Source organism: Homo sapiens, chromosome 7 (genome assembly GCF_000001405.40).
Source record: "Homo sapiens chromosome 7, GRCh38.p14 Primary Assembly".
NCBI lineage: Eukaryota > Metazoa > Chordata > Mammalia > Primates > Hominidae > Homo > Homo sapiens.
This window is the reverse complement of record NC_000007.14, coordinates 55,654,500-55,680,415: the sequence shown is the minus strand read 5'-3', so window position 1 is coordinate 55,680,415 and position 25,916 is coordinate 55,654,500. Positions and strand designations below refer to the sequence as shown.

The following is a 25,916-nucleotide window of genomic DNA, read 5'->3' as shown; positions in this document are numbered from 1 at the left end:
TATTTTAATATATATTAATATACATAAAATAAATGTATTATATATACATACAGTTGCTGTTAAAAAGCAAATGTTGGCCATGTGCAGTGGCTCATGTCTGTAATCCCAGCACTTTGGGAGGCTGAGGTGGGTGGATCATTTGATCCAAGAATCAAGAAGATAAGTGGAAAGTGTTACCAAAAAATAAACATAAAAAGTATTGGTTAACACAAGGGTCCCCAACCCCCAGGCCATGGACCGGTACCAGTCCATGGCCTATTAGGAACCAGAGCACACAGCAGGAGGTGAGCGGCAAGTGAGCAAGCAAAGCTTCATCTGTATTTACAGCCGCCCCCCATCACTTACATTACCACCTGACCTCTGCCTCCTGTTAGGTCAACAGCACCATTAGATTCTCATAGGAGCGTGAACCACATCCTACTGTAAGCTGCACACATTGGAGATCTAGGTTGTGCTCTCCTTATGAGAATCTAATGCCTGATGATATGTCCCTGTCTCCCATCACCCCCAGATGGAGCTGTCTAGTTGAAGGAAAACAAGCTCAGGACTTTCACTGATTCTACATCATGTGAGTTATATAATTATTTCATTATATATTACAATGTAATAATAATATAAATAAAGTGCACAATAAATGTAATGTGCTTGAATCATCCCTAAACCAGCCCCCTCTCCCCCAGGTCCATGGAAAAATTGTCTTCCACAAAATCAATCCCTGGTGCCAAAAAGACCAGGGACAGCTGGATTAACAGATATTAGACCCCATTGCCTTGTATTGGATTATAGTAATCTGCAGATATATATTGTGTGACTGACATCCGATGGTGCCATCTTTTTTTTTTTTTTTTTTTGAGACGGAGTCTCGCTCAGTCACCCAGGCTGCCTGAGTGCAGCAGCCTGATCTCGGCTCACTGCAACCTCCACCTCCCAGGTTCAAGCAATTCACCTGTCTCAGCCTCCCAAGTAACTGTGACTACAGATGCCTGCCACCAGGCCTGGCTAATTTTTGTATTTTTAGTAATGATGGGGTTTCACCTTGTTGGTCAGGCTGGTCTCAAACTCCTGACCTTGGGTGATCTACCCGCCTTGGCTTCCCAAAGTGCTGGGATTACAGGCTTGAGCCACCGCGCCCGGCCCGATGGAGCCATCTTGCACTGTAAATCATTTTAGGGATACCTGCAGTATTTCATGAAAATTAAAATTTATTTCTAGTGAATTTACAAAGTTGTTTGTAAGTAGTATGTTCTTTTTAATTAGTTAATTTGAAATGATCTGTCCTAATTGAGTTCTTATGACTGTGTGAAAAAGAGGTAATTTTCTTTTTCTTTTTTTTTGAGAGGGAGTCTCGCTCTGTCGTCCAGGCTGGAGTGCATTGGTGCGATCTCAGCTCACTGCAAGCTCCGCCTCCCAGGTTCACGCCATTCTCCTGCCTCAGCCTGCCGAGTAGCTGGGATCACAGGCACCCTCCACCACACCCAGCTAATTTTTTTTTGTATTTTTAGTAGAGATGAGGTTTCACGGTGTTAGCCAGGATGGTCCCGATCTCCTGACCCTGTGATCCGCCCGCCTCAGCCTCCCAAAGTGCTGGGATTACAGGTGTGAGCCACGGCGCCCTGCCAAAAAGAAGTAATTTTCAACGTGTAACTATACTAAATAATTTCTAATATTCTTTTTCATAACATTTATCAGAATTGCTAGTAACAGAAACTCACCAATTAGCAGGATGTTTTTTCTTCACTACCTTTCAAGTATATTTATCCCTTGGAAGAGACTGAAGTGAGAAATTAAAAACATGAGAACTAGAAAGGAAAAGTAGTCAAGAACATAGAAATTTTATTTGAATAATAAACACTGGGTAGGAAGAGCCAGATAACAAAATAAACTTTTTATTTTCTAAGAAGACAAATTTTAATATGTTTTACTGTAGAATGACCTTAAAAGAAGAAGAAAAGGGAAGAAATGCTGATATGTTGCCTAAAAAAGATAGTGAACAGTTAAAAAGAAAAGAAAAGGAATGTGGGAAAGAAGTTGAAACAGCAACTCAGACTCTGAAATCACTGGTCACAGAATTGAGGACATTAGGAAAGAATTTGGATCAGGTAAATTAATTTTTGGTGAAAACTTTATATTTCTAACTTTATAGTTCATCAATATTACTTATAATATTCCTTTGATGTAATGTACATAATTTAGTTTCAAAACATACCAAGACTGTTATTTAATCTTAAAAAGGAAGTATGACATTTATAGCTATTTATTGTAAACCTTGGCATCTCTGCCTGTGATGTTCAGTCTTAGATGCTCAAACTATCTCTTATGTTTTCTGAATGAAGGAATGGAGGATAAATTGAGTTTAATCACATAAATATTTGTGTATTTTTATGTTAAAATACAGGCTCTATAGCTTTGAGACTATAACAAAGCTAGTTACATGTTTTGAAAGAAATTTTATTACACAATACTGTATTTTTCTGTAGGTAAGAACTGTTTTTCCTCTTTGGGAAATTTAGCTGTCATGTATGCAATTAAAGTTTGAGTAATTCCTGAGGGATAAAAGTCCTTGTGTTTCAATAGGCTACTTTTTTTTTTTTTAACAGTTTTACAAAAAAGGTTCTGTTCCTTTAGATTTTCTTTTTCAATGCTATTAGACCAAAAATGTAATGTATGTCTAGGTTGTGCAGAAGCGAAGCGATACCCACAAGCAACTTTCTGAAGAGCAGAATGCCAGAATATTAGAAGATGAGACTCTGACCAGTAAGCAAAAGGAGGTCGAAGGGGCTCAAAAGAAAATGAATTCTGAGGTATTTTCTTTAGTCATTTTCAAATATGTTTTTGTATGTGTATATATTTGAAAAACCAACTCTATGTACCTTGGAAAATATAAAGGATTTTTAAATTATATATATACACACACACACACACACACACACACACACACATCCTATGTGTTTGTGTATCTATATATAGAATATGCGTGTGTGTGTGTGTGTGTGTGTGTGTGTAGGATAAAGCCATATTCTTAATTCAGCTCCATTAGTCTGCAGCAGTCAAGTAGTGACATTCACAATGGCCTCAATCCAAAGAAGAAACATTTGATATTTTTTATAAGAATTGATGATCTTTCCATAATCTCAAAATTTTTGGTACTAACAACAGACGTTCTAGTTTTCGGACATTGTTTTATCTTCTCAAAATATTAATGGAGAAGTCAGTTTATTATTTTCACTGATAGATAAGGAGGAAATGTATAGCCAGTTTAGAGGCCATATTGTGGATGTCATTCTTACTTTTGAAGAACTTCAAAGTTTTCTCCAAGTAGTATCTAATTTCAATGCAAAGGGCTTTGAAAACAATGACGTAGAATAATATACATTTAGTGATAATTTATTGGTAAGTGTTTTGTTTCTAGAAAAATAGTTCAGTGTATTTCCCCCTATTTCACACTTATTATTGTTTCAAACATTATAAAGAGGAAATAAAAGTTATTACAATAGCAAATAATCTCATGATTTTTTAAGAAGATCTTTATAAATTTTACCGTTGGTATTTTTAAATAAGAGGCTTCTTTTGTATTTATATATTTACACCACAGAAGTAACTGCAATTTGATGGAGGAGGACTAGAAGTAGAATCAGAAGACCTGGGGAAAATCCTGCATCTTGCATATATTTCAATCTCTCCTCTTCAGAATTGCGACCTTAAATGAGTTCAGTAATGTATGTAAAAGTGCAATGCTTAGATGTAGAAGTGTAAAATGTAGAAATGTACAATGCTTAGATTTAACATTTATGAATAAGTGTAATCTTTATAACTTACAATAAAATTGTTAGAAAAGTAGAATATCTATAGAACATTATCAGGAAAAAGGAACTTAGAGAACTTTGAGAAATTTCTTCAGTCCAAATAAATGCAGAACTAAGAGTCTTACAATGGGGTGGTGTATAGGTTAGATACCAGATTTTAAAATTTTTAAATTTTAAAAATGTAGTCAAATGTATCAATCTCATATTTTATGCCGCTGGGTTTTTTGTAATTCAGAGAAAGGCTTTGTCAATTCTGAGAGTCTTAAAAATCCTCTAGTGGTTTATTTTTTACTTCTATTGATTCATTGTCTTCAAATAGATTTTTTTAACTTTTGGGAATTTACACTCTGAGGTTTGAAATTTTGATTTAACATTTTTTCCAGTTAAATATCCACTTATGGGAATCCTTTCATTGTACAAGTATACAGGTTATTCTTTAATTTCAGAAGAAACCATGATATGTCATTCTGTTGAGTGCTAAGTTTCCTTTGTTTACTTAGATTTCTTAAAGCCATAAGAAAGAAAAAGACCTGTTGCATAAAAATAGTATGTTGCAGGAAGAAATTGCCATGCTAAGACTGGAACTAGACACAATAAAACATCAGAACCAGCTGAAAGAAAAGAAATATTTGAAGGATGTTGAAAGTGTGAAAGAAAAGAATGACAACCTTCAAAATATGATAAAACTGAATGAGGAAACATCAACAAAAATAGTATTTCAGTACAGTGGACAGCTTAGCATTTTGACAGCTGAGAATGAAACTCTCAGTTCTCAACTTGAGAATGTAAAACACAACATGGAAAGACTGGAAATGGAAATTCAGTCATATCGATGCAGGCTGGCTGCTGCTGTACATGATTGTGATCAAAGTCAGACAGCATAAGAAAACCTAGAACTTGCTTTCCAGAGAACAGGACATGAATGGGTTCATTTACAGGAGAAAATGAATTCTGATATGTCTGACCTAAAAGATAACAGATTCTTTCTGAAAAACTCTCTAATGCTGACAGTAAAATTAACAGCCTAAAAATTAAGTTTCATCATGCAAGGGAAACACTCAGAGAAAAGACGTCAGTTTTAGAATATTTCCAAAGAGACCTAGGCCAAACACGGTGTCAAAAGAAAGAAATTGAACGAATGTATAAAAATGAACAAAGCAAAGTAAATAAATACGCCGAAGAAGCAGGAATCTATAGAGTAGAGATGTGCTCAACTACAAAGTGAAAATAGGTTGCTTCGACAGCAACTGGATGATGCCCACAAGAAAGCTGACAATCAAGAAAAGACAATCAGTACTATCCAAGACCAAATCCATGCTGTAGTAAAAAAATCTAGCTGGGAGTGAAATGCAGAGTCTTCCGCTAGAAGAGAAAAACAAAGACTTAATCAATGTATGTAATAATTTGAAAGAAAGAATATATCAATGTGAAAAAGAGAAAGAAAAAAAAGTAAGTACCAAGAAAGATATTTTTCAAACTCAAAGAAAGAAAATTTAAAGTAATATTTGGTTATGCTAAATGTTATATATAGTTGCATATAAAAGTATGTAGAATAGGCTGGGTGCAGTGGCTCATGCCTGTAATCCCAGCACTTTGGGAGGCCAAGGTGGGCGGATCACCTGAGGTCGGGAGTTCGAGACCAGCCTGACCAACATGGAGAAACCCCATCTCAACTAAAAATACAAAATCAGCCGGGCGCAGTGGCGGGTACCTGTAATCCCAGCTACTCAGGAGGCTGAGGCAGGAGAATCACTTGAACCCGGGAGGCGGAGGTTGCATTGAGCCGAGATCGCGCCATTACACTCCAGCTTGGGCAACAAAAGCTAAACTCCGTCTCAAAAAAAATAAAAAAGTATGTACAAATATACTTAGAATAAAAGTGTATTTGCTGTGTTAGCCTAGAAACATACCAGCAAAAGAAAGACCTGAAGTACACTTTACTTTGAGTAAAGAAATTATATCACCTTTGAAATTTTAAGAGGTTAAGTTACAAGTTGTTAGTAGATATAGACTAATATTTATGATGTAGACATACTGCTAAAATAATTTTAATATTTGTATGTGGCCACATTTTAAGACCATGATGAAGCAGATAAACAGAAATGCCTTATATCTGAAATAAGTCTTTTGAAATTAAGATTCTATTAGGTGGGTTACTTTGACTGTTAATTCAAGATTTCCCAGGTGAACTGAAGTATACTGTTGTATCTCATAATACTTTTCCTTCAGGGGCTTTTTATGTATTTACGTTTGTATAATTTTATTTTTATTTGTATCAATTTGACTTTAATCTGAGACTATTTCAATATCAGTATTGTTATGACATCTCGATTATTTAAAAGCATTTACTTTTTATTAAATCATAATTTGGGACAGATGTGAATTTCCAGCAAAACCATATTTGATTAATCTTACCACTGGTATTTATACTTTGAATGTTCTTAAAAATAATTTGCCCACAATTTTTATTTCAAGGCTCAATGGCTATCATTTGGATATGACTTTGTCCCACACAAAGATAATTGTGGCTATCTGCGATTGCTTTGTTTGACGTTAGGTCCCCATTTTCAATCTAATGGGAGGTGGTAGGATTCACATACAGTGAGAAAGCAGTGAGTAGGGAAGAGATTTGTATGAGCTGAGGTCAAGGAGGGAGGTGAAGGCCGGGTGGTTACCTAGGGCCTGGAAGGCAATTGGAATTTTACTTGTATTCTGAGATAGAAATCTATTGGAAGGATCTGAGCAGGCAATTGAGGATGTCAGGAGTGGTGGGGTTTCTTTGAGCTTCTAATAAAAAAGAGGAAAAACATTTTACAATGTTGCATTTTCTACCACCAGTCCCACCCACATATGGATTTGTTTTTGTGACTTAAGTAGGAAGTTAAGCATTGCAAATGTATCAGGGGTGAGTGAATAGTGAACTGAATCTAAGCAGAATACTGACTTGGCAGGAAAATAATACCTTCTGTGTCCTTAACTGAATTCAGTAATAAGCATGTATACACATAGGAAAAGAAGGTAAATTCATGTATGTGGTGCTATTTTTCAAAGTACATGTTAAATCTTATTACATGATTTACTAATAAGGTAACATGTCAAATCAGTAACAAAAATATCTGAACAGGTAGTTATGAGACAACTTCAACAAGAACTGGCTGATACCCTAAAAACACAACCTATGTCAGAGCCTTACCTGGAGGCTACACCACATTATCATATTAATTTAGAAGAGACCCAAGATTCAAAGAAGGAATTAGGTAAAATCAGAAGTCAAGTATATATGAAACATAACATGTCAATGGTTAATCTATAGGTAGTGGAATAATATCTAATGTTTTAGGATACTAATTGCATTGGATAGGTTTTATTTTTATTATAATTAACTTTATTAACTTTATCATGCAGTTATTTCTTAACCTCTGACTTTCATTCTGTCATGTTTTTCTCATAAGTATATACATTTTAAAAATAATATTTACCCTCATGAAAGTTGGAAATTATACCTCATTCCTCACAGCAGTTGAGAGAGTTTTTTCTGCAAACCATTATTTTTTAGCTATTTCTCTACTGTCATGGTAAGGCAAGCCAGATTAAATCAGAGGATAATGTTTAATATAGTGTTCCAAAGAAGTGTCTTATTTCTTGTCTTTCATGAATGGGTATAGAGTGTGTGTCTGTTTGTTGCATGAATTTCAGGATAACTTGTATGGAAAGGCCATTAAACTTTTCTCCAAAATGCAAATGTTTTAGATTAATTTACAAAGTACTTGAAATGTTAGGCATTTCCTTCATTTTCATTTCATTTTAAGTATATTGTAAAAGCATGGAAATACTCAGATCGTGTAGAGTATATACATCCAAAGTAGAGAATTAAGAAATGTATCTAGATCCTGCCACTGGATTTTTTAAAGCAACTGTGTTGGTATATAATTTGCATAACATACAGTTCACCCATTGAAAACGTACAAGTCTCTTAGTATATTCATGGAGTTGTGTAGTCATCAGCAACATCAGTTTGAGAACATTTTCTCGACCCTGAAAAGAAACCCTGCATCATTTAGCCATCATCCACCAGTTTGCCCTTCCTCAACTCTAGGGAACCACCAGTCTACTTTGTTTCTATAGAGTTGCCCATTCTGGACATTTCATATCAATTGAATCACAAAACATGTGGTGGTCTTTTGTGATTGGCTTCTTTCACTTAGCATAACATTTTTAAGGCTCATCCGCATTGTAACATGTATCAGTACTCAACTTCCTCTAATTGCTGAGTAACATTCCACTCTGTGGATATACCAGTCATTTTATTTACCCATTCATCAGTTATGGACTTTGGGTTGTTTCCATGTTTTGGCTATTAATCATACTCCTATGAAGTTTTATGTACAAGTTTTTGTGTTTGCATATGTTTTCATTTCTCATGGGTGTATACTTAGAAGTGGAATTGCTGGTGTATACTTACAAGTGGAATTTGAGGAGCTGCCAGTCTGTTTTCCAAAGTGGCTGCACCATTTTACATTTCCATCAGAATTGTATGGGGATTCTAATTTCTCTGTATCTTCCCAACATTTTTCACATTTTTGATTGAAGATTCTATCCTAGTGGTGTGAAGTGATACCTCATTGTTTTTTTTTTTTTTTTTTGAGTTGGAGTCTTGCTCTGTCGCCCAGGCTGGAGTGCAGTGGCACAATCTCGGCTCACTGCAACCTCCCCTGCACCAGGTTCAAGCCATTCTCGTGCCTCAGCCTCCCAGGTAGCTGGGATTACAGGCACCCACCACCATGCTCGACTAATTTTTTGTGTCTTTATAGAGACGGGGTTTCACCGTGTTAGCCAGGGTGGTCTTGATCTCCTGACCTCGTGATCCACCCGCCTTGGCCTCCCAAAGTGCTGGGATTGCAGGCGTGAGCCACCGCGCCCCGCAAAGCGATACCTCATTTTTGTTTTGATTTGCGTTTCCCTAATGAGTAATGATGTTAAGCATCTTTTTATGTGCTTATGAGCCACTTGTGTATCTTTGGGAAAATGTCTATTTAAATGCTATGCCCGTTTTAAAATCACCTTCCCTTTTTTTTCTGAATTTTAAGTTTTTTATAGATCTTATGTGTAAGAGCCCTTAACAGATATGATTTTCAAATATTTTATTTCACTCAATGGCTTTTATTTTTACTTTTTTGATGATGTCTGTTCAAGTGCAGACATTTCAAATTTTGATAAAGAATTTTATAGTTTTAGCTCTTATATTTAGCAGTTCTATTTTGAGTTAATTTTAGATGTGGCGTATGTTAGGAGTCCATCTTTATTCTTTTGCATATGGATATCCAGTGGCCCCATTACCATTTGTTGAAAAGGCTATTCTTTTTAACAAATTAATAGTCTCATTTGTTGTTTTTTTACCCTTGTTGAAAATCAATTGACCATAAATATGTGGGTTTATTTTGGGATTCTCAATTCTAATATGTTGATCTATGTCTATCATCATGCCAGTACCGAATCTAATTTTAGGATAATTATTTTTCAGTCATGTTGCTTATTATTCCCAATTGTCCTAAGTAAGAATAGAAATTCAAGTAGTAGGATGCCTTTAATTTCACTGTTTGCTTCTTGAAGGAACATGTGGCCAGCTTATATTAATACCTTGCTGACTCCTGTGACACAATGGGAAGTCAGGCTTACAAAGACAGAGCGTATTCATTTCTTTTTCTCCGTTCAAACCGTTTTTCTCTCACTCAGTCCCTAACCTCTTCACTCCCATTTTCATCAAATCTTGGTTAGAGGATCTGCTGACTCAGTCTACTATTTACTGCATTATATTTACTAACTCATAATAAGTCATAGAATTGTGTAGATTTTTGCCATGTAGGAAGGAGAAGATTAAGTCTGGGCTGTTGCTTTCCTCTTTGGAAATTGAGCTAATTCATCATCTTACAGCTCACAAATAGATCCTCTGTTGACCTGGTGCCTGGTTCTTTGTATAACACTGGAGCTGATCCTTTTCTTGGCACAGATCCTACATCCTCAGAAATTACAGTTTTCTGTATTTAACTGCTTTTACTTAACAGAGGTGCCTAGCTATGCTTTATAGCTCAGTACATAATCAAATTAGTAGTTCAACCCATTCAAATAAAAATTTTCAGGCATGCAGCACCTAAAAATCAGGTGATGTCCAGGTATTTATCAGAGACAAATAGTCAAATTAGTTGTATGAATTTCAAAATTTCAGAGCCAATTTGTATGATATGGAGCAGCATTTTGGTACAATGTAAAGATGAGATGGTCTTACCTTCTCAGCTTGAAGGGAAATTGTATTTAATTTTTTAACATGTAAAGGACACTACATTTGTTTTACTACAGAGAAGGTTAAAACTGATTCCGTAGTATTCTCTTTATTTTCTCATTGAGGAAATGAAAATGAAGATCAAATACTAGATTGATTAATAATTACTCAGCTGCTTATCACTTTTAGAATTTCAGTTCATTGAAATCAGGTAAAATGTCTGATTTGGGTTATTATATCAAATACTTCTGTTTTTTTTCAACTTTCATACTTCAAATTATATATCCTTCCTTCCTCATCTTCCTTATCCCATAACTTGAGGGGCAAATGCTAAAGGGCCTCATTTGCTTAGTTATGAGAATTTGTAACTGAAGGGAACTTTTTCTAAACGTCCTCCTCAATAGTTCATACATCTGTCTCCTGGTTGTCTGCTGCTTCTCATTAGCATTGTTTGTCATTAACAAATTAACCTCAACATTTAGTAGATCCTACTTTAAAGGAGACTAATTACTACTGTGTAAGCTATTATATTTCTTACTGTCTTTTTGTTTAAGTCCATTTTCCTGTTTATTTTTCCCTAACAAGCTACCCAAAGGTGAGTGGCTTAACAGCAACATGTATTTAGTTCACCAATCTGTGGTTTGGAAAATCCTTGTCCAGGACAACCTTCTCTGCTCCCCTCAGCTTCACTTGCAGTCAATCAAATATTGGGGGACTGGAATCATCTGAAGGTCTGGTCACTGATATGTCTGGTTGTTGACAGTGGCTGTTGATTGGAACTTTAGTTGGGGCAGGCAGCCCAAATACTTGCACTGGAACTCCTGTGTGCTTTTTGTGACCTGAGCTTCCTCACAACGTGGGGGCTCGGTTCTAAGGGCAAGCAGTCTGAGGTAGAGAGCGTCTTCTAACCTAATGTTGGAGGCCACACGGTATCACTTGTACCACATTCTATTCATTAGAAGCAAGTCACTAAGTGTGGCCCGTAGTCTGTTTATAGGATGAATTGTTTGTTTGTTTATTTATTTATTTATTTTTGATTGATTGATAGTGTCTCACTCACTACATTGCCCACGCTGGCCTTGTACTCCTGGGCTCAAGGGGTCCTCCTGCCTCAGCCTCGTGAATAGCTGGGACTACAGGTGTATTACATCATACCCAATTTCCTTTTTATTTTTGTGGACATGTATAATTGTACATATTTATGGGATTCACAGTGATATTTTGATAAGTGTAGCCAGTGTATAATGGTCAAATCAGGCTATTAGCAAAGCCATCACCTCAAACATTTACTATTTCTTTGTGCTTTGAACATTGAAAATCCTCTCCTCTACCTTTTTAAAAATAACACTATAAATCATAATCATAGTGTCCCTACAATGCCACAGAACACTAGAGTTAATTCCTCCTATGTAGCTATAATTTTGTATCCATTAACCAACCTCTCCCCATCCTCCACTCCCCCTACCTTTCCCACCCTGTAATACCCACAGCTCTACTCTCTACTTCCATGACCTCAGATTGTTTACTTTAGTTCCCATGAGTGAGAACATGCAGTACTTACGGTTTTGTGCCTTATTTCACTTAACATAATGTCTTCCAGGCTCATTCATGTTGTTGCAAATGACATGAATTTATTTTTTGGCTAAATAGTATTCCATTGTGTATGTGTGCCCTATTTTCTTTATTCATCAACCACAGTCATCTGTTGATAAACATTGAGGTTAATTCCACATCTTCGTTATTGTGAATAGTGCTGCAATAAACATGGGGGTGCTGGTGTCTTTTGATACATTGATTTTCTTTCTTTTGGATAAATACTCAATAGTAGGATTGCTGGATCACACCACAGTTCTATTTTTAGTTTTTACAGAAGCCTCCACACTGTTTTTCATAACGGTTATAGTAATTTGCTATTTCCTACACCAGTGCATAAGAATTCCCTTTTTCTCCCCAACCTCACCAGCATTTTTTACTTTTTGTCTTCCTGATAGTAGCCATTCTAACTGTGGTGAGATGATATTGAGTACTTTTTCATATATTGGCCATTTGTATGTCTTCCTTTGAGAAATAATCTACTCAGAGCCTTTACCTACTTATTAGTTGGACTACTAACTTTTTCACTGTTAAGGTGTTTGCTTTCCCATATATTCTGGATTTAGACCTTTGTCAGGTGAACAGCTTGCAAGTATTTTCTCTCATTCTATGGATTTTCTTCACTCTATTGGTTGTTTTCCTTGCTGTAATGAAACTTTTAATATAGTCTCATTTATCTATTTTTGATCTTTGTTTTTATTTTTTACCTGTCTTTTTTATGTCTTAGCCATAAAATCATTGCCTAGACCAATGTCTTGAAGTATTTTCCCTATATTTTCTTCTAGTAGTTTCATAATTTGGGGTCTTATGTTTAAGTCTTTAATGGATTTTGAGTTGATTTTATGGTGAAAGATAAGGATCTGCTTTCATTCTTCATCCTACTGATATCCAGTTTCCCCAGCCCAATTTGTTGAAGAGAGTGTTCTTTGCCAATGTTATGTTGTTGACACCTTTGACACCTTTGTCAAAAATCATGTGCCTGTAAATATGTAGATTTATTTCTGGGTTCTCTATTCTGTTCCATTGGTCTATGTATCTGTTTTTATAACAATCCATGTTTTAGTCACTGTACCTTGTAATTTGTTGTTGTTGTTATTGAGAGGGAGTCTCGCTCTGTCACCCGGGCTGGAGTGCAGTGGCGCGATCTCTGCTCACTGACTGCAAGCTCCCCCTCCCGGGTTCATGCCATTTTCCTGCCTCAGACTCCCCAGTAGCTGGGACTACGGGCGCCCGCCACCACGCCCGGCTAATTTTTTTGTATTTTAATAGAGACAGGGTTTCACCGTGTTAGCCAAAATGGCCTCGATCTCCTGACCTCGTGATCTGCCTGCCTCGGCCTCCCACAGTACTGGGATTACAGGTGTGAGTCACCGCGCCCGGCCCCTTGTAATGTATTTTGAAGTCAGGTAGAAGTGATGCCTCCAGCTTTGCTCTTTTTCCTCATGAATAGGCGGACTAGTCTGGCTTTTTTTTTTTTTTTTTTTTTTGCTTCCATGTGAATTTTAGGATTGTTTTTCTATTTTTTGGCAAGTTTTTTTTGTTTGTTTGTTTTGTTTTGTTTTGGAAACAGAGCCTCTCTGTGTTGCCTAGGCTGGAGTGCAGTGGCGCGATCTCCGCTCACTGCAAGCTCCACTTCCCGGGTTCACGCCATTCTCCTGCCTCAGCCTCCCGAGTAGTTGGGACTACAGGCGCCCGCCACCACTCCTGGCTAACTTTTTTGTATTTTTAATAGAGACAGGGTTTCACCGTGTTAGCCAGGATGGCCTCAATGTCCTGACCTCGTGATCCGCCCACCCCGCCTCCCAAAGTGCTGGGATTACAGGAGTAAGCCACTGCGCCCGGCTTCTTTGGCAAGTTTTAAAAAGCATTTTGTTTATTCTTTTTCTTTCTTTTATTTTAAATTCAGGGGGTACATGTGCAGATGTTTTTACAAAGGTATATTGCATAATGCTGAGGTTTGGGGTATGATTGATCCTGTCACCCAGGTAGTGAGTATTTACTACTCAATAGGTCATTTTTGACACTGGTTCGCCTCCCATCCTTCCCCTTCTTGTAGTCTTCAGTGTCTGCTGTTCTCATCTTTATGTCCATGTGTACCCAGTGGTTGGCTCCCAGTTCTAAGTGAGAACGTGTAGTATTTGGTTTTCTGTTCCTGCATTAGTTTGCTTAGGATAATGGCTTCCAGCTAAATCCATGTTGCTGCGAAGTACGTGATTTTGTTCTTTTTATGGCTATATAGTGTAACATGGTGTGAATGTACCATGTTTCCTTTATCCAATCCACCTTTGATGGGCTCCTGGTTGATTCCATGTCTTTGCTATTGTGAATAGTGTGGCGATAAACATACAAGTGCATGTGTCTTTTTGGTAGAATGATTTATATTCCTTTGGGTATATACCCAATATTGGGATTTCTGGGTAGAATGGTAGTTCAGTTTTAAGTTGTTTGGGAAATCACCAAACGTCTTTTCACAATGGCTGAACTAATTTACATTCCCACCAGCAGTGTAAAAGTGTTCCCTTTTCTGTACAACCTCACCAGCATCTGTTATTAAATATTTTTGACTAATTGCCATTCCAACTGGTGTGGGTTAGTCTCTCGTGGTTTTGATTTGCATTTCTCTAATGAGTAATGATAGGAATCTTTTTTAAAAATGTGCTTACTGGATGCATGTATGTCTTCTTTTGAGGAATATCTGTTCATGTCCTTGGCCCACTGTTTTATGGGGTTGTTTTTTTCTTGTAAATTTGTTTGTTCCTTATAGATGTTGGATATTAGTCCTTTGTCAGATGCATAGTTTGCAAAAATCTCCCATTCTGTAGGTTGTCTTTTTATTCTGTTGATAGTTTCTTTTGATGTACAGAAGCTCTTTAATTAAGTTCCATTTGTCAATTTTAGCTTTGTGTTTTGTTTTGTTTTTTGAGACAGGGTCTTACTTTGTTTCTCAGGCTAGAGTGCAGTGGTGCAAACACAGCTCACTGCAGCCTCAACCTCTTGGGCTCAAGTGATCCTCCTGCCTCAGCCCCCAAGTAGCTGGGACAACATGTGTATGCCAGCACGCCTAGCTAATTTTTGTATTTTTTGTAGAGACGGGGTTTTGCAATTTTGTCCAGGTGGTCTCAAACTCCTGAATTAGGGAGGGGTCCCTCCTCGTCAATATTTTGGAAGAGTTTCAGTAGGATTGAGAACAGCTTTGGTTCTGATTCAGCTGTGAATCCATCTGGTCCAGGCCTTATTTTGGTTAGTAGGTTTTTTTATTATTGCTTCAATTTCAGAACTTGTTACTGGTCTGTTCATGATTTCAGTTTCTTCCTGGTTCAGTCTTGAAAATTTTTGTGTTTCCAGGAATTTATCTGTTTTCCTGTAGAAATTCTAATTTGTATGCATGGAGGTGTTCATAATAGTCTCTGAGGATCTATTTTATTTCTGTTGGATCGGTTGTAATGTCATCTGTGTCATATCTGATGGTGCTTATTTAAATATTCTCACTTTTGGTTAATCCAATTAAAAGTCTATCTTTTTTTTCTTTCAAGGAATCAATTTTTGTTTATCCTTTGTGTGGGTTTTGGGGTTTCAATGTCATTCAGTTCTGCTCCGATTTTAGTTAATTCTTTTCCTCTGCTAGCTTTGGGGTTATTTTCTTGTTTTTTGGTTCCTCCAAGTGTAATGTTGGATTGTTAATTTCAGATTGTTCTAACTTATTGGCATGTGCATTTAGCACTGTAAACTTTGCTCTTAACACTGCTTTTGCAATATCCCAGAGGTTTTGATATGTTGTGTCTCTGTTTTTATTTATTTTGAAGATTTTTTGTTTCTGATTTAATTTCATTGTTTACCCAAAAGTCATTCAGGAGCACGTTTTTTAACTACCATGTAATTCTGTAGTTTTGAGATATCTCAGTATTGATATGTTTTTATTGCAGTGTAATCCAAGAGTGTGCTTGGTATGATTTTATTTTATTTTTAAATTTATGGAGACTTGCTTATGGCCAAGCATGTGGTTGACCTTAGAGTATGTTCCATGTGCACATGAGAAGAAAGTATGTTCTGTGATTTTGGGATAGAGTATTCTATAGATGTCTATTAGGCCTGATTGATCAAGAGTCAAATTTAAGTCCAGAATTTCTTTGTAGGTTTTGTCTCAGTGGTTTGTCTAATGCTGTCAGCGAGGTGTTGAAGTCGCCTATTATTATGTGGCTGTCTAAACTTTTTCATCGGTCTAGAAGTACTGTTTTATGAATCTGAGTGCTCCAATGTTGGGTGTCTATATATTTAAGATAATGAAGTCTTCCTGTTGAATTGAGCCTTTTATCATTATGTAATGCTCGTCTTTGTCTTTTTTTACTGTTGTTGATTTAAAGTCTGTTTTATCTGATATAAGAATAGCGGCTGGGCTCGGTGGCTCACGCCTGTAATCCCAGCACTTTGGGAGGCCGAGGCGGGTGGATCATGAGGTCAGGAGATTGAGACCATCCTGGATAACACGGAGAAACCCCGTCTCTACTAAAAATACAAAAATTGGCTATTTGGGAGGCTGAGACAGGAGAATCACTTGAACCCGGAGGCAGAGCTTACAGTGAGCCGAGATCACGCCACTGCACTCCAGCCTGGGCGACAGAGCAAGACTGCATCTCAAAAAAAAGGAAAGAAAGAAAGAAGAAAAGAATGGCAACCTTTACTCTTCTTTTCCATTTTATTTGCATGATGGATCCTTCTTCATTCCTTTACACTGAGCCTTTGCATGGTATTACATGTGAGATGGGTTTTGAAGACAAGCAGTGGCTGGTTTTCGTTTTTGTATTCAACTTACCACCCTGACTTCTGAGTGGAGCATTGAGACCATTTAATTTGAGATTAACACTGGTATATGAGATTTTGATCCTGTCGCGATATTGTTAGCTGGTTGCTCTGTGTTCTCCATTGTGTAATTGCTGTGTAGGATCTGTGGGCTATGGACTTAAATCTGGTTTTGTGATAGCAGCTATTGTTTCCTTCATTTTTGTGTTTGTAACTCCCTTAAGAATTTTTTTTTTTTTTTTTTTTGAAACGGAGTCTCGCTCTGTCGCCCAGGCTGGAGTGCAGTGGCACGATCTCCGCTCACTGCAAGCTCTGCCTCCAGGGTTCACACCATTCTCCTGCCTCAGCCTCCCGAGTAGCTGGGACTACAGGCGCCCACCACCATACCCGGCTAATTTTTTTTGTATTTTTAGTAGAGACGGGGTTTCACCATGTTAGCCAGGATGGTCTCTATCTCCTGACCTTGTGACCCACCCACTTTGGCCTCCCAAAGTACTGGGATTACAGGTGTGAGCCACCGTGCCCAGCCTCCCTTAAGAATTTTTTATAACACTTCTAGCAGTAATGAATTTTCTTAGAATTTGCTTTTCTGAAAAAGTTTTGTTTTTCTCCTTTACTAATGAAGCTTGGATTGGCAGGATATGAGATTCTTGGTTGAAATGACTTTTCTTTTAGGATGCTGAAAATAGGTTCTCACTTTGTTCTGATGTGTAAGATTTTTGTTGAAAAATCCACTGTTAGCCTAATGGAGTTCCCATGGTATGTCATCTGACCCTTTCTCTACCTGCCTTTAAGATTTTTCTTTCAGCTGGGTGTAGTGGCTCATGCCCGTAATCCAAGCACTTTGGGAGGCCGAGGCGGGTGGATTGCCTGAGGTCAGGAGTTCATGACCAGCCTGGCCAACGTGGCAAAACCCCGTCTCTACTAAAAATACAAAAATTAGCTGGGCGTGGTGGCGGGTGCCTGTAATCTCAGCTACTTGGGAGGCAGTGGGTTGCCTGGGTGGGCTGGTGCTTGGGCCTCCAGGTAGTGTGTGCTGGGATCAGAGGTGGCAGTGGCATGACAGTCCTAAGGACCCTGGGTGGAACTTGTGGTACCTACAATGACAATAGCAGTGAGGGGCCAGACCCTGGGTTGCATGAACGGGCACTAGTAATGGTGACAGCAGTCTGGCTGGGCATTTTCCTGGGCCCTTGTGTGGCACATTTGGGTGGGTTTCTATAGCCATGGGTGGGGCAAGCTTGTTTATGGGTTCACTGAGTGCACATGCAGGAGCCTTTGTCAGTGGCTGGTGGGGCAGCCCTGTCCTCAGGCCCTGGAGGACATGTGTGGGTGCCAGTGGGGCAATGGAATTGTTCTCAGGCCCTTGACAGTGTGTATGGACACTTATAGAAATAGGGATGCCAATCCTCAGGCTCCCAGAATACAGGTACTTGTGGTGATAGTGGTGGATGGGGCAGACTTGTCTTCAGGCCCCAGAATGCACATATAGGCCTGGGTGGGATGGGCTCCTCCTTCAGGCCCTGGACGGCATATGTAGGCACTGGCAGCAATAGTGGCAGTGGCAAGCAAGGTGACCTTGTCTTCAGGCTCCCATATGGCTCACACAGGCACTGCCCCTGGTGGGTTGGGCAGGCTGGCTTTCAGGATTTAGGATGGTGCACATGCGTGAGTCAGTCCTCAGGCCTCCTGAAGGTGTGCACAGGTGTGCAGCAGTGCTGCCGCTGGAGGGGACAGGGTTGCGTTGGTGGTCATGGCCTCAGTCAGGTGGCTCTCAGGCTCTAGGAGCACATACTTAGGATTCCTTTGTCCTAGAGTACCTTTTCTGGTGGGCCGGACCAACTATTTCCAAGGGTGTAGGGTGCTGCAAGGTTAGGGTTTTGGGGACCCAGCCACATCAGGTGTTGTGGGTCCAGCTGGTGCATGATGCCGCAAGTCCTCTCTGTGAATGTTGTGAAATGTCAGCGGTGCTCCACTGAATGTGGAGATGCAGGGGCTGTTGGGTCTCTGGGCAGGATGTAGTCTGGTAGTAGGGGGCGGTTTGGGCTCTTAAACTGATGCTGATTTAGGTGCCACAGCTTCAGTCTCAGGGTGAGTGGGACAGGCTTCCACTAACAGTTTCTTTGAAGCCCTTTCAGTGTTCATTATTCTTCTCTAGGTCTTTTCAGCCTCTACCTAGCTCCTGGCCCAATGGTATCCTGCCAGGTTTTAGTAGTATCTTTTAATGGCAGTAGCCCATATTTAGTGTCAGTATCTGTATCAGTTATCTATTGCTGTGTAATACACCACCTCAAAATTCATTGTCTCAAGACAGTATCTATTTTGTTCACAATTTGCAGTTTTAGGCAAGGCTCAGTGGGGCTATCTCACTTTCTATGGTATCAGATGAAGTGACTTGAAACTTAGACTAGAATCATTGAAAATATTAAAGTCCTGTTGATTTGCCTGTGTGGCAGATGAAGCTGGCTTTTGGCTGGGAAGTGAAGCTGGGGCAGTCAGCTGGAACACCTACATGAGGATTCATCATTTGGCTCAGTCTTCCTTACATTGTGGTGGCTGGATTCTAAGAACAAGCTTCCCTAGAGAGAAAGTCAGGTGGAAGCTGTATTATAATACATTTTCTTATCCAACGTTAGAAGTCACACACAGTTCTGGCTGGGTGCGGTGGCTCACGCCTGTAATCCCAGCACTTTGGGAGGCCGAGGCTGGTGGATCATGAGGTCAGGAGATCGAGACCATCCTGGTTAACATGATGAAACCCTGTCTCTACTAAAAATAAAAAAAAATTAGCTGGGCGTGGTGGTGGGCGCCTGTAGTCCCAGCTACTCGGGAGGCTGAGGCAGGAGAATGGTGTGAACCCTGGAGGTGGAGCTTGCAGAGAGCCAAGATAGCGCCACTGCACTCCAGCCTGGGCAACAGAGCGAGACTCTGTCTAAAAAAAAAAAAAACAAGAAGTCGCACCCAGTTCTGCCATATGATGTTCACTAGTAACCAATTACCAATGCCAGCTTGTATTCAGGAGAGGGAATTTCATGGGAGAAATGTCAAACAATTAGTAGTGGTGCCACTCCACTTACCTTTTTAAAATAAAATAATCATTCCATCTAAAGGAAAATTATTCTTTCCAACTCAGTAGCACTGAAATTTTAGCAAGATCTTTTGTTATCATTGTTTAGTATGCACCCTTACTTTGTGTAAACTAACAGAGGATTATAAGATTGTGCTATTGAATTCAGACATTTTTGTTCAGGAAAATTGTATGGATCATCATGTTGCTGAACTTTTATACTAGGAGATATAATTGCTTCTTAACCCCAAGAATCATTACCCCTTGAAATGTAATTCAAATTAGCATAAAACATTTATAGTTCAGAAAAAGGCTTATAGCATTGGAATCCACATTTACAAGATTTACAAATTAGAGTCTTATTTTCAAAGTTTTATTTTGGGAGCCATGTACTGACTGAGACCTAAATAATTCAATATGTTTTCCCTGAAACCTCTTTAGAAATTATGGGGAATGACAATGTAGGGGAACGAGTGAAAGTCTTTGTAGTAAGGGGTGGCATAGAGGCATTATAATAGAAAAATAAACAAGTAAATGTTGTATGGCACAAATGATGATAGTAAAGAATATATTTTTGTGACTCCTAGTGGTTTTAACTTTCTTTTTGATTTTGTGAATAACTCAAGGGTCCAAATATTATGAATCTACTACAGTATATATAACATTTTATTGCAGCTGAATTTCTTTCAAAAGTTGTTATTGGTTTCATGTTAGACCATTCTTGGCCTTCCTCCTTCATTACCAAACTATTTTATTTTACTCATGCAGGTTGATCTTACAGAAGCATGGGAAACCACATCTTCAAAATGTCTACATCTGGATGCAGAGAATGAAGTTCTTCAACAGACATTAAACAATATAGAAGAAATAAGACAATACAGAATATGAAAACAATGCAGGAGAAATATGAAAACAATACAGAAGAAATGTGTAACACTGCAGAAGAACAATAGGCACTTAGCACAGGTAGTATTAAACCTCAAAAGTTATATGGAAAGAAATATGTTAGAACATGGTGAAGCTGAACAATATAAATGAGAGATGAAAGAAAGAGCAAGACAAGAGATTGTAGAAAAATTAAGTCAATCTCTTCTTGCAGGTTGTTGTATTTACCTGTAATGTGCTTTCATTCATTTCACTGCAAATTATATTTTGGATATAGACATTGTATGTGTTTTCCCTACTTTATAGCAATTTGTTTGGTAGATTTCTAGAAGGATGGTAGTAGCTGTTTCTTCCTTTAAATATTTTAGTTCCCATCATTATTATAACTAAGTTGATCCTCCATAATAATGATTCTTATTAGAAAATCCTTTGATTACTAAGACCAGTTGGCATAAAACAAGATGAAGAGAGAAATAAAACGTTTGTGATTTACAAATTAAACCATATTCTTGGATTGTTCTTAAGTTACATTGTTCAAATTTTAAAATTTAAAATTGATTCTATTATGCTTTGGAGTATCACATTACATGAGTACTACCATAAGAATGACTCAGTTTTTTTACAATTCAGATTAAGTTGTGAATTCAGTTGATACTCATGATAAATATATTAAACTTCAGCTTCTTTTTAAAAAATACCTAAAATCACTCTCTGAACCACTGACTGAAAACTAAATGAAACAAATACACAATAATTATTCAAGTGATAATTACTATTAAAATGTCTCTTTTAAATGCTCATTTTAGACATGAGCAGCGTCTCAAGAAGAGTTAGAGCAGTTAAGAGAAGACAATATTACCTCACTAAAAAGTCAGATGAAACTCAGAATTAAAGAACTGGAAGCCAAACTCTCCAAAATGAAAACTTCACAAGCAGACTTTAATAACAGTGAATTGGTAAACTATAAGCAGCTCTATCTGGAGGAATTATAAATTAGAGGATCCAGCCAGGCGCGGTGGCTCACGCCTGTAGTCCCAGCACTTCGGGAGGCCGAGGCAGGTGGATCATGACGTTTGAGACCAGCCTGGCCAACATAGTGAAACCCCGTCTCTACTAAAAATACAAAAAATTAGCGGGGCGTGGTGGCGGGCCCCTGTAATCCCAGCTACTTGGGGGGTTGAGGCAGGAGAACTGCTTGAAGCCGGGAGGCAGAGGTTGCTGTGAGCTGAGATCACGCCACTGCAGTCCACCTGGGCAACAGTGCCAGACTCCATCTCAAAAAAAAAAAAAAAAAAAAAAAAAAAAAAAAAAAAAAAAAAAAACAGAGGATCCCTGTCAGGTGAACTAAATAAGTAAATCAAGACACAGAATCACTGAAAATAAATTAAGCTCATTAATTTGCCTTCAAAACATAATTTTTAGTGAGACAGGTTTCTGAGATTCGTGGGAAGTCAAAGCTAACTAGATTCGACAATTTACAAAAGTGATGTTAGTAAATGAATTTACCTTTAAAATGTTCGTCCGGGACAGTTCGTGTGTCTCCCCTGTTTTGAAGTTTTATGTGGCATTTTTTCCTTCATATTCTCATGTAGTTAACCTGATCTATTAGGTTTTCAGCTAAATATTTTTTATCTTTATAATTTAGACAGTGATACTATCATAAAATTGTTAGTCGTCATTCCCCTAAATAGAAATATCAACAAATGTAATTATTTTCTGGAAGATGACAAAGCAAGAGTCAAGTACCACTATTCTGGGCACATTCTGGCACTCAGTAAATTTACTTTCCTTGATTGTGATCTATCTTGGATATTATCATTAGAGGGTGCCTTGAGACAACAAATCCTGTATAGTTTTTCCACTCCACATAAAGGCATACTTCAACATTAGGTTGAAGGGAAGTATAATCCACAAAGTGGTGAAAAATAACACCTTGGTCAGCCTGAGGGGGTGTGTGGAAGACAGAAAGGGCAGGCCCCACCTCTGATGCCTGGGCCACAATGTTAGGCGCTAATTGCCTTTGGAGCTGCTTTAGTTGTCTTTGATCTCAGCTATCTCATTCTCCCCCGGGAGTTGTTGCTCTGTGATATGGTTTGGCTGTGTCCCCACCAAAATCTCTATAGTTCCTGTAATCCCCATATGTCATGGGAGGGACCCAGTGGGAGGTAACTGAATCATGAGAGCGGTTCCCCCAGCCCCAGCTGTTCTCCTGATAGTGAGTGAATTCCCCTGAGATCTGATGGTTTTGTAAGGGGCTTTTGCCACTTTGCTCGGCACTTCTCTCTCCTACTGCCCTGTGAATCAGTGCCTTCCACCATGACTGTAAGTTTCCTGAGGCCTCCCGAGCCATGCAGAACTGTGAGTCAATTAAACTTCTTTTCTTTATAAATTACCCAGTCTTGGGTATTTCTTCATAGCAGCATGAAAATGGAGTAATAAACTCTGAATAATTCCTCAGTGGCAAACACTTAATTTTTCCCAGACAATGGGTTAAATGTAAAAGGCTGGTGAATATGATTTTTCAGGAATGTCTTTGAGGGATAGTTTTCTAAAATCTTTTCACTGGTTTACTAAATACAAGTATTTCTAGCTTTTTAAACTTTTTTTATTGTATATATTTAAGGAGTACAACATGATGTTTTGATATGTTTATATGCACAGTGAAATGGTTATTACAGTCAAGAAAATGAACATATTCATCACTTCACATAGTTACCCTTTAAATGCAAGTATTTTTAATGGCATCCCTAAGAATCTCATAAGTAGAGCCATTCCAGAAAGCAGGAAGTGTTACCTGTTAAGCCATACATTATTGAAAACCTTTTCCCTCCCCTCCCTATTTTGACTTACTTGTTTGCTATAAATCCCCCTAGAAATACACGTACTTCTTCAGAAGAATTTAAAAACTATAATTGCATGCAGTAGGCATGCTCTAACACATTTTTGGAGTTAAAACATGACTTACGGTGTATTCCACCTACTCTTACGGCAACTTTTAAAATGCTGCAAGTCATTTAGGAAAAAAATGAGATACTAAGCATTTGTCTTTTACAATCTTCACAGAACTAATGACATGCTAGCAGACGTCAGCACCCTACTTCCTGTGGAGAAAAAGCAGACCAGATCTTTATTCACTCCTCATAATAGAAGGCCAGTCTTAGAATCACCGTGCACCAGAAATCTTAATGACAGTTTAGGTCTCAACAAAAGCCATATTCCAAGAGAAAACTTAAGGATCTCTTCCTCAAGCTCACAACATAGAGAACTGTTTGTTGAAGGTCAGTTATATTATCTTTTATCCTTTGGCTTTCAAATTTCTGATACAATTCTTGCATTTTATTTGGAGAGCTGTTTGTCTTATGCGTCGAAGTAGAGGTCATAATTATCTGTGTTAATAGAAAGAGGAAACAATTTTTTTTTCTTTTTTTTGAGACGAAATCTTGCTCTGTCGCCCAGGCTGGAGTGCAGTGGCGCGATCTCGGCTCACTGCAACGTCTGCCTCTAGGGTTCAAACGATTCTCCTGCCTCAGCCTCCTGAGTAGCTGGGATTACAGGCGCCCACCACCATGCCCAGCTAATTTTTTTTTGTATTTTTAAAAGAGACAGAGTTTCAACGTATTAGCCAGGATGGTCTCGAACTCCTGACCTCGTGATCTGCCCGCCTTGGCCTCCCAAAGTGCTGGGATTACAGGCATGAGCCAGAGCACCCGGCCAGAAACAGAAATTTTACAGTTATATTTAAGTCCATGGAACTGTCATTTTCCATAGATACCCATTTAACTTTATTTAATAATTGTAACTGAACTGACACGTTTTAATTTGTGTTAAAAACTCCATTTAAGTTACATTTTAGAAATGGAACATTATTGCTTAACAGCTAAAGTTATACTTTGGGATGCTTACTTTGTAGTTGATTTTAGTTTGTTTGGGGTTAATAACACCTTTAAAGTTTTCCTGCACCATCTCAAGTTTTCTACCTCAAAAATGTGAATGAATAGTATCCAAAATTTAACCACATGCAATGTTCATTATTTAAAGGAATCCAAGATAATATTTTTATGAATTGCATTAACCTATATTACTGAAAAAGATTAATTCTGTTTTTTTTAAGTTAAGTTTTGTGATTTTCTTACAAGTGCATCCTTAATTGCTATTGTATTTACAACATTTTACTTCCAATTATGTGGTCAATTTTAGAATAAGTGCAGTGTGGTGCTGAGAAGAATATATTCTGTTGATTTGGGGTGGAGAGTTCTGTAGATGTCTATTAGGTACACTTGGTCCAGAGCTGAGTTTAAGTTCTGAATATCCTTGCTAGTTTTCTGTCTCACTAATCTGTCTAATATTGACAGTGGGGTGTTAAAGTCTCCCACTATTATTGTGTGGGAGTCTAAGTCTCTTTGTAGGTCTCTAAGAACTTGCTTTATGAATCTGGGTGCTCCTGTATGGGGTGCATATATATTTAGTATAGTTAGCTCTTCTTGTTGCATTGATCCCTTTACCATTATGTAATGGCCTTGTCTTTTTTGATCTTTGTTAGTTTAAAGTCTGTTTTATCAGAGACTGGGATTGGAACCTCTACCTTTTTTTTTTTTTTTTTTTTTGCTTTCCATTTGCTTGGTAAATATTCCTCCATCCCTTTATTTTGAGCCTATGTGTGTCTTTGCACGTGAGATGGGTCTCCTGAATACAGCACACCAATGGGTCTTGACTCTTTATCCAATTTGTCTTTTCTGTATCTATTGAGATAATAATGTGGTTTTTGTCTTTAGTTCTGTTTATGTAATGAATTATGTTTACATTTATTCATTTGCATATGTTAAACCAGCCTTGCATCCCAGGGATGAAGCTGACTTGTTTGTGGTGGATAAGCTTTTTGATGTGCTGCTGGATTCGGTTTGCCAGTATTTTATTGAGAATTTTGGCATTGCTGTTTATCAGGGGTATTTGCCTGAAGTTTTTGTTGTTGTTGTATCTCTGCCAAGTTTTGATATCAGGATGATACTGCCTCATAGAATGACTTAGGGAGGAGTCCCTCCTTTTCAATTTTTTAGAATAGTTTCCATAGAGATGGTACCAGCTCTTTTTTGTGCCTCTGGTAGAATTCAGCTGTTAATCCATTTGGTTCTGGGCTTCTTTTTGTTGGTAGGCTACTTATTTCCGCCTCAATTTCAGAACTTGTTGTTGTTCTGAACAGGACAAGTTTTTGTTGTGAATAGAATAAAATTCTGTTCAGGAATTTTATTTCTTCCTGGTTTAGTCTTGGGACAGTGTACGTCTCCAGGAATTTATCCATTTCTTCTAAATTTTCTAGTTTATTTGCATAGATGTGTTTATAGTATTCTCTGACGGTTGCTTGTTTTCCTGTTGGCTCAGTGGTGACATCCCCTTTATCTTTTTTATTGTGCTTATTTGATTCTTCTCTCTTTTCTTCTTTGTTAATCAAGCTAGTGGTCTATTTTATTAATTTTTTCAAAACACCAGCTCCTGGATT

General features: G+C 38.0%; 1 pseudogene, besides 1 other annotated feature; it reads left to right on the top strand.

Moving 5' to 3' along the window:
- Positions 1,939 to 21,420, top strand: LOC643348 (ankyrin repeat domain containing 26 pseudogene; annotated as a pseudogene).
- Positions 22,242 to 22,743: an enhancer, noted in NCBI's record as "NANOG hESC enhancer chr7:55725366-55725867 (GRCh37/hg19 assembly coordinates)". NCBI's record gives its function as "activates a minimal SCP1, AML or CMV promoter by ChIP-STARR-seq in primed H9 embryonic stem cells {active_cell/tissue: H9 hESC(primed)}" and the evidence as "EXISTENCE:reporter gene assay evidence [ECO:0000049][PMID:30033119]".